A 9047-nucleotide genomic window follows, 5' to 3' on the forward strand; every position below is an offset into this window, starting at 1 on the left:
ATAGTGGATACATCAAGCACAATTTGTATTTGATTTGAACTGGAACTTCAGGGATTTTCACTCTTGAAAAATATCACAAATGGCAATGCTATGTACAGTATTTGAATCATGACACATCAGTCCCATATCAGTGAGAACTTGTAATTATCACGTTCATAGAAATTTAACCTAAAAGTAATCTGTATAAACACCAGACTCCTCTTCTTTTACTATAGTTTTATCTGGGCAAGTCTATATTAAGATACATATCATTTTTAATTACTTTTTTATTTTTCCTCTATATTCGAGTTCTATTGATTTTTTTAAAAATTACACAAGTAAGTTGTATTATCTATGATCTCCAAAATAGGATAAAGGGAGGATGGCTTTTAGTTGGGATTTCTAGAAAACAGATCCTAAGGCAAGGACTTGGTCTGCATCATTCCATCTGGGAACTCCAAGCCGGGGTAGTGAGGGTGAGGGAAGTAAGGAAGGGAGGAAAGAAAGGATGTAAACAATGAGATATGAGAGGCATTAGCATGCTGCCCACCAACTCACTACAAGCCCCAAAGAGGGGCAAGTTTCCTCAGCAGGAGCATGGGGTCAGCACGTGGGTCAGCACATGGGACATCTCTGGGAGGACCACCAGGAGAAACTAACCTTGAAATAGTGCACAGAATAGAGAAAGGATGGGGAATTCATCTGCCCACCTCCTTCTCATTTTCCATTTCCCTTCATTCAAGGTTCACCCACGGTGAGTTAACTTGCGCACACTTCCAGGTTGCATCATCTGGCTCCACCATCTGGCCCCTCAGGAAGCTGGTACCACACCTCATGGTGTGTGGTTTCATCCAAGTCTAAAACAGGAGGCAGCCTGGTGTGGGTGGGTGGCATTAACTAAGAGAGATAAAGGGGATGGCAGAATATGGAAGGTTTGCATCCCAATATAGCTCCTAAGAAAGTATGTTCTGTAAAAAGATATGGGTCTGGCAGAGTTGAGAACCACCTCAGCACAGTTTGAATTGCTTGTGTAATATCTTTCTCTTTCACTAGCACATGAGCTCCATGAGGACAGAGACAGTATCTCCTTCATTCAAGCTGAATGTAGACCATCTAGCATAGCGTATCACACACAATTGTTTGATCAATATACAGTTGTTGAATGAAAGGTCCAGAGTGGTAGGAACTGAGAAGAGGCAGGAAACGGTCATGACATACATAGCCTTACAGGTCATACCAAGGATGCTGAACTTGTATTCTGCAAGTGGCGTGGAACCTCTTAAGTCATTTCTGTATTAAGACATGATCACGTTGGCATTTTGGAGGAATTGGTCAGTGTGAAGAACAGCCTTGAGGTGGGAAGAGGAAGGGGCCAAGCAGACTGCTGAGAAAGCTACTAATATTATGACAACCCACGAGAAACTGAGGCAGGAGAGGAGGAGATGGAAGTGAAAGGACAAATTCAAGAAATGTTTATGTGACAACATTAGCAAGCTCGACAAACAGGTATGGTAGGACGTGAGGAAAAGGAGAATTAAGATGGACTTCAGGCCGGGCGCGATGGCTCACGCCTGTAATCCCAGCACTTAGTGAGGCCGAGGCAGGAGGATCACGAGGTCAGGAGATTGAGACCATCCTGGCTAACATGGCGAAACCCCGTCTCTACTAAAAAATACAAAAAATTAGCCAGGCGTGGTGGCGGGTGCCTGTAGTCCCAGCTACTCGGGAGGCTGAGGCAGGAGAATGGTGTGAACCTGGGAGGCTGAGGCAGGAGAATGGTGTGAACCCGGGAGGCAGAGTTTGCAGTGAGCTGAGATCGTGCCACTGCACTCCAGCCTGGGTGATAGAGTGAGAGCCCATTTCAAAAAAAAAAAAAAAAAAAGATGGCCTTCATTTTCTGGCTTGTCTCGCTGGTCAGATGGAAGCAGCACTGATAGGGAAAAAAGAAGCAGCAGCACATTGAGCAAGTTGTAAGTATTATTTCCATGTTGGATATGAGGACTCCATGTGCCTTCTGGACATCCTTACAGAGATGTTCAGCAAGAATCTCAAGCTGAGGTCCTCAGAGGCAGAAATACCTCAGAGCATAAAGACTCACAAGTTAAAACCACAAAGGGCATGAAAAAAAATCAGAAAGAATAATGGGCTAACAATGGCATAGCAATGTTCATGAAACAAAAGATTGTATAAAAGATATAAAGAAGACATGATTACAAGCTGGGTGTGGCAGCTCACAGCTGTAATCAGTGCACTTTGGGAGGCCAAGGTGGGAGGATCACTTGAACCCAGGAGTTCGAGACCAGCCTGGGCAACATAGTGAGACCTCATCTCAATTAAAAAAAAAAAAAAAAGACATGATTACAGAGCTACAAAGAGAATCATGTGAGTGATACCACAGACATTATCAGAGGTGCCTATTAGGGAGGGGGCAGTCATACTGTCAAATGCAACAAAGAGTTTGGTAAAGTATGAACTGAAAGATACTCATTGGGTTTGAAAATATTTAGGTTACTGCTAAATTTTTCCAGAACAGATCCATCAGAGTGGTGGGGGCAGACACCAGACTGTATCAAGTGGGTTGAAATGAGACAGGCACATGAAGAAGTTTTACCTACAGAATATAATATTGAATTGTTCCCTCTAGAACTTGTTTTATAAGTATAGCTGAAATAAAGTTATGGGGCATTATTTGAGGAACACTATTTTATTTGTTATAGGTTTTATCCATTTATTCTAGGTCTTATCACTGGATCATAGACATCACAGAGAACCATCAGAATGCTGCCTGTTCGGATGACACTGGATTGGTTCCCTGTAATTACTGTGCTCTGCCTGGGTATAGAAGTCACAGGAAACCCATACCATTTCTTTCTCAGCTGTTTTTGGCAGAACTGTCTCTACTTCACTTACTCAAAGATCATCCAAGAAAATTTTTAGATATAAATGATGGGAAAACCACACAAAAATCCAGTGTAAGGGCTATCTCATATTGTCTGGGCCTTTCTGGAACCATTTGAGTAACTCTATAGGAATATATGATTTCTGTATATCTATGTCCACTTTTCCAGTATTGATCGAATACTCTTCTCTGATGCTGAATTTTATACATTTCGTTTCATCTGCAAACTACTCTAAACCTCTTGAAATTCACTGTATAATGTGAGAAGTAAATCCCTGAGCAACTTACCTGAAATTTTTTCATTTTCATGTTCTCTTGAGAAAGGGCCAAGAGTGTTGAAAGCAGAGCTGGGTAAGGAAGAATGGCGAATGGAATCATGAGCGATTTGGCTCACACAGCAGCTCTACAATTACCTACAAAGCCACACACCCATTTAAAAACATGGCCCTTTGACCAGTCTGGTTCAGGAAGCAACATGTTGAGGAAACGTTCACTTGTCCATTTATAGTTCTAGAATGGTCTCATAGAGCTTTTCTTACTGAGTGAGTGTCAACAAATGTTTTCTACTGAATTACTGTCAATCTATGCCTCCTTTGAAAAAAATTGAAAACGTCTGAGTCCAATTAATAGGAGACTAGGTCAACGAAAGTTAGTATATACAAAGCCTGGAACACTATTTTGGCATTAAAATGGACTCTAGGATTAAAAGATTTCTTGGAATAGGAAAATGATATTATGTCACTTACCTGTTTTCCTACTAATGTGTTTAGCCACTTGAGATGACAGAATCCAGAGAGAATGAATGAAAGTGCTTTAAGGTGTTTGTCTTTTTGACAGTTTGGTTTCCCTTAGCTGCAGTTTCACAAGAGGACCTTTTACTAAGAAACTTCTTGTGGTAGGTAACGTAAATGTGGTAGATGACAAAAGCCCTGACCTGGTACTCAAAGGACCAGAATTCAGTTATTGGATCTGTCACTAGCAAACTGCATTACTGAAAAAAATATTTACTAAGTCGTAATTTTAATATAAGATAAATTGGTTTTTAGTCTTTCCTTTACCCCTATCGTGTAGCTCTGTAAGGGGTAAACTCAGTAAATCCCAGGTGAGGTGATGAACATGGTTGGTGCAGCTCTGAATAAACAGAGGGTGGAGATGGTAGGGAATGACATGTATGTGTTTAGGAAGTGATGAAGACATCATTTCCTTATTTATAACCAGTACTCCTTCCCTCCAACCCAGGACTCTCGCAGATACCTCCAGTGAAGTGTCTTTTCCTGTCAAATCTTGACCCTGCCCATTCCAGCTCACATCCTTCTTCCGAAAGTTGAACTGAACTTTGCTGAGCTATAATAATCAATGGCTGCAAGACTAAGTGCATCAGCAGAAGTTCTGGAAAGAGGTTCTAGCTACTTGGATGCGTAAACCTTTCACCTTCACCAAGCGCCTTCTTCGGGCAAATCAGGGCCCTAGAGAGAGCTCGCCCGTGGCCTGCAGGTCAGGAGCCCAATCCTGCCCTGGCTGCCTCGCCTCCCGACCACAGGAAACCCTCCCTCCAAAGACAGGGAGAGCGCGCGTCCACCCTCCGCAGACCCGAGGCCCGCTCCGCCCGGCCCCACCGTTCCCTCCGACGCCCGAGTGCTCAGAGCTCGCCGCCAGCCCTTCCTATAGGTTGTGGGTGCACCCGCTTCGCCTCCAGTTCGCACCAGGTCCAAGTCTCGGCGGGACCAGGGATTCACGGGCTGCAGGACCCTCACCCGGAAGAGCCTGGCGAACCGGAAGGGCGTCCAGGTAAAAAACAGGAACAGCACATGCGCAGAAAGGCCCCCGGGCCGCCTTTCCCGGGGCTCTCCCGGGCCCCCCGCCGGCTTTCCGGACCACAGTCCCCAGAAGGCGTCGCGGCCACCGCCCTACCCTGAGGGATCTTTGAGGAGCTTCTGCTTTAACTACAGAGTTTAGGTGACTGCTGTGAATCATCAATACGAAAAGTAAAGTTTCATATCCGTTTCACCGAAGTCTATAGATGAGAAAGGAAAATTCTGCGAAATGAAAATGACTGCTAAAGATATTCCAGCAGAATATAATACTAACGACCTGCAGAAAATTTCTCCCAAACAGGATACAAAATCATTGCTGGCTTTCAATACGTGAAGGTTGAAAATAAATCAGAATATCTCTGAAGAAAATGAACTATTAGCCGTAACCCCAATTCCCAGAGATATCCGAGTTTAACATTAGGTGCACATTCTTCTGACAGCTTTACAAAGAGGAACTCATATAGGTCTAGTAATTTGTTATTTTTTAAATTAGCAATATAGTTAATATACTTTAATACCACGAATTATCTCATATACATTGTGAGTAATATAGAAAATAGTTTTACATCCACAAGGAAAATACATACAATCATGCATGGTTTAACGATGGGGATACACTCTGAGAAATGTGTCTTTAGGCAATCTCGTCTTTGTGTGAACATCATGGAGGGTTCTTACACAAATCTAGACAATATAGTCTACTACACACCTAGGCTGTATGGTATAGCCTATTTCTCCTAGGCTACAGGCCTGTGTGGCATGTCACTGTCCTGAATACCATATGCAATGGTAACACAATGGTATTTGTGTATGTAAACATATCTAAACATAGGGAAGGTGCAGTAAACGTACAGTATTGTAATCTTATGAGACCACAGTTGTATATGCAGTACATCGTTGACTGGAACATTCTTATATTATGCATGACTGTATATGAATTGTATACATATTGAATAAATAGAACTTTATAAAACTTTACTCATTGGAAGGCATGAAAGTTTCTGACAAAGTTATAATGTATTATTATTCAATTCCAGAAAAGAACAATTAGCGACTGGTGGTAGCTAGTCTTCAAAGATGGCCCCCAATGAACTAAACTTCCCAGTATTCCAGGCTTGTATATTTCCCTCCCACGTTGACTTTGACTGACTCTGTGACTCTCTTTAACCAAAAGAATGCGTCAGAAGTCACACTGTGCCAGTTCCAGAAATAAGCCATACAAAGTCCTGGCAGCTTCAGCTTTGCCCTTTGAAGAGTCCTTAGACGCTGTGTAAGACATGCAGTTAACCTGTTAGACCAAGTGGAGAAACCAGGAGAAGTAGGAAGTGAGAGGCCCTGAGACCACATGGAAAAAGAGAGGCCCATCTTTCCTAGCAATGCAGCTATCCCAGCCTTCCAGTCATCCTTGCCTAGAGACATCAGACATATGAGTGAACATTCTAGGCCAGTGAAGTTCCTGGATGACTTCAGCTCCAGATGAAATCATATAGCTGATGCCAGTAAACATACAGACTACAAGAAATAATGAATTTTATTATTTTAAGCCTCTAAGTTTTGGGTGGTTTGTTACACAGCAATAGCTAGCTAAGCACCAACAAAAGATGATTTCCAAGAATATAATATGAAAAGCTGCCATTTCAAATCATTGAGAAAGGCTTATTGTTAAATAGATTATTGAAAAAGTGATGTGGGACAACTCACTAACCATTTGGAGTAAAAAACTAAGATTCCCATCTCACACATTATAATCAATATATTTCACATTGACATATAATTTGAAATGTTAAAAGCAAACTCACAGACTAAGTGATTTTTGCATTACTTGCTAGGGAAGCTCTTTTACTGAAATTTATTAAAGCAAAGTTTCCTAGTCATCAAGAAAATTGAATATATTTCTATTCATTCAAGTTTAGATAGTCTCAAATGTTTTGCTACTTTTGTAATTGGGAACATTTTTCTATCTTATTTTCATTGCCATGTAAAAGTGACACTGTAGAGAAAAGTATTGATCAATTTGGCTATGAAAAATTGAAAAAATCTTGCTTCAGAAAAAAATAGATTTAAAAAGAAATAAATGGAGAAAATAAAGTGGTTTCATATATATGAGAAGGATTGGAAATAGACTCAATTTATTAACAGCTCTTAGAAATCAGTAAAGATGAGGATTCAAATTTGTTTAAAAAATGAAAAAAGAACATGAATAAGACAATTAATATAGAAGAATTGTAAAAGAGCCATAACTATACATATGAGGTAATGGCCAATAATACTCTAGAGCAAAGAAATGCAAAAAGTTTTTGATTACGTACTTTTTTGGCAGACTAATTTGGCAAAGATTAAACGGAATAATAAAGTATTGGCATGAATTTGGAAAAAATATTTGTTCCCAGACAGGTTGGGTGGGAGTATAATTCCTATGACATTTCTAGTAGACATTCTGTACCAAAATTGAAGATTGCATGTCCTTTATTCCAGCAACTCAGCTTCTAGGAACATCTTAATCAAATAATTAAATCAGTACAAAAAGATGCATATCAAGAATGTTCCTCGTAATGATTTTAATCATAATCTTTTTTTTTGTAGATGGAGTCTTGCTGCAATGCCCAGGCTGGAGTGCAATGGTGCAATCTTGGCTCACTGTAACCTCCACCTCCTGGGTTCAAGTGATTCTCCTGTCTCAGCCTCCCAAAAAGCTGGGATTACAGGTGCCCGCCACCATGCCCGGCTAATTTTCGTATTTTTAGTAGAGACGGGATTTCACCATATTGGGAACTCCTGACCTCAAGTGACCTGCCCACCTCAGCCTCCTAAAGTGCTGCGATTATAGGCGTGAGCCACCACGCCCAGCCAATCATAATAACTTTTAAAAAGGTGGAGGGAAGCAACCAAATGTCTACCAGCAATGTGAAGGTGAAGATAGAATATAAGTAGCCATTTTTAATTTATTTGATGTAATATTTGAATTACAAATATAATTTTCATATTTTTTCAGATATAACTACTTGTCTTGATATGATTTATTGAAAACATCATTTTTTGCCCACTGCTTTGCAATGTCATCTAAATTCTTACATACCTCTTGTCTATACATGTTCCTGCAAGGAACCAGAATTTAACTTTTTACAAATTAAAGAAATTTCATACATATTAACATTAATCTGCTTTTTCTAAGATTTTCTGGATGTATTTTAAATACTCTGTGAAGGGAAACCAAAAAAAAGCAAAGAAAGCACCAAAATTTGCCACTATTTTAACAGAAATTTTATTAAATAAACAAAATTTCCAATTCTTCAAGCCTGGGTGACAGAGCGAGACTCTCAATAAATAAATAAATAATAAAAGTTACAGGGATGGAAAGCACAAATTCAGAAAGTGGGAGTGATGATGAAACAGGTTAATTCTACTGTCATCACTTCGTTTCCAGCCACTTGAGGATACAATAGCATATATCAGCCACTGGTTCCATACATAAGCTACATCCTGGTGGACAACACCCAAAACTCTTAGGGTGTCATTCCAAAACCTCTGCCTTAGCTGAGCCTTTACTAAGCAATATCATACTTCTATCAGGATGGCTGTTTTAGGCTGATGCCTTGTATGGTAGGATTAATTGATCCCATAGAGCAGTGGTCCCCAGACTTTATGGCACCAGGGACCAGTTACATGGAAGACAATTTTTCCATGGACAGGGTTGGGGGGCATTAGATTATCGTAAGGAGTGTACAACCTACATCCCTCACGTGCGCAGTTCACAATAGGGTTCCCACTTGTATGAGGTCTAATGCTACCGCTGATCTTACAGGAGGCGGAGCTCAGGCAGTAGTGCTCTCTTGCCTGCTGCTTACCTCTTGCTGTGCGGCCCGGTTCCTAACTTTGTTGGGATAGAGATCTTGGGTCTTGGAGGTGGCAGACAGTTCCACTGGAAATAATGATGAACAAATGTCTTAACATTTAGTCCTCCAGGAGACAATTCTGGGAGCATTCCATATGCTTCTCAGAGTTATTGGAAGAATCAAATCCCTGTTGTCCATAGCAGGGACCTTACTTTCACCTGCTTACATTGGCGTTTCTCCTTCTTTATCTCATTATCTCCAGTCTCTCATCCCTGCTTCCTGGAATCACCTCCCAAATAAACTCTATAACCCAGGCACTGTATGCATTTTACATAACATGTACATGACATCTTACACTGTACCCTGCCCTCTCTCTTCCTAGTATTTCTGTTTCAGCCGGAAGAGGAAGCAAATGAAGATTGACTTGAAGATTAGAGAGTTGAAGTAATCTTCATTTATTCACTTTGGATGAAGATTGTAGGGTCAATATCTAGGTCCTGGTATTCTAATTACTAAATAGAT

General features: G+C 40.7%; 1 protein-coding gene across 25 annotated transcripts in view, besides 1 other annotated feature; it reads right to left on the bottom strand.

The window, feature by feature from the left end:
* ZNF334 (zinc finger protein 334) overlaps nt 1-4644 on the bottom strand; it is a 51247-nt gene extending 46603 nt beyond the window's left edge. For 2 of the 25 annotated variants that reach the window (NM_001270497.3, NM_001353825.2), the window contains exons 1-3: nt 4582-4644; nt 3167-3225; nt 690-836 (exon numbers count right to left, since the gene is read on the bottom strand). In NM_001270497.3, coding sequence (NP_001257426.1) covers nt 690-707 — 18 coding nt within the window. In that variant the 5' untranslated portion in view covers nt 708-836; nt 3167-3225; nt 4582-4644. Of the gene's footprint in view, nt 1-639 lie in introns of all 25 variants that reach the window. The other 23 variants (NM_001353822.2, NM_001353819.2, XM_047440281.1 and 20 more) reach the window with 17 other exon arrangements.
* Nucleotides 4684-4918: a silencer, noted in NCBI's record as "fragment chr20:45142238-45142472 (GRCh37/hg19 assembly coordinates)". NCBI's record gives its function as "represses an EF-1alpha promoter that drives an FKBP-Casp9 reporter gene in an ReSE screen in K562 erythroleukemia cells {active_cell/tissue: K562}" and the evidence as "EXISTENCE:reporter gene assay evidence [ECO:0000049][PMID:32094911]".

This window comes from Homo sapiens, chromosome 20 (assembly GCF_000001405.40).
Source record: "Homo sapiens chromosome 20, GRCh38.p14 Primary Assembly".
Taxonomy (NCBI): domain Eukaryota; kingdom Metazoa; phylum Chordata; class Mammalia; order Primates; family Hominidae; genus Homo; species Homo sapiens.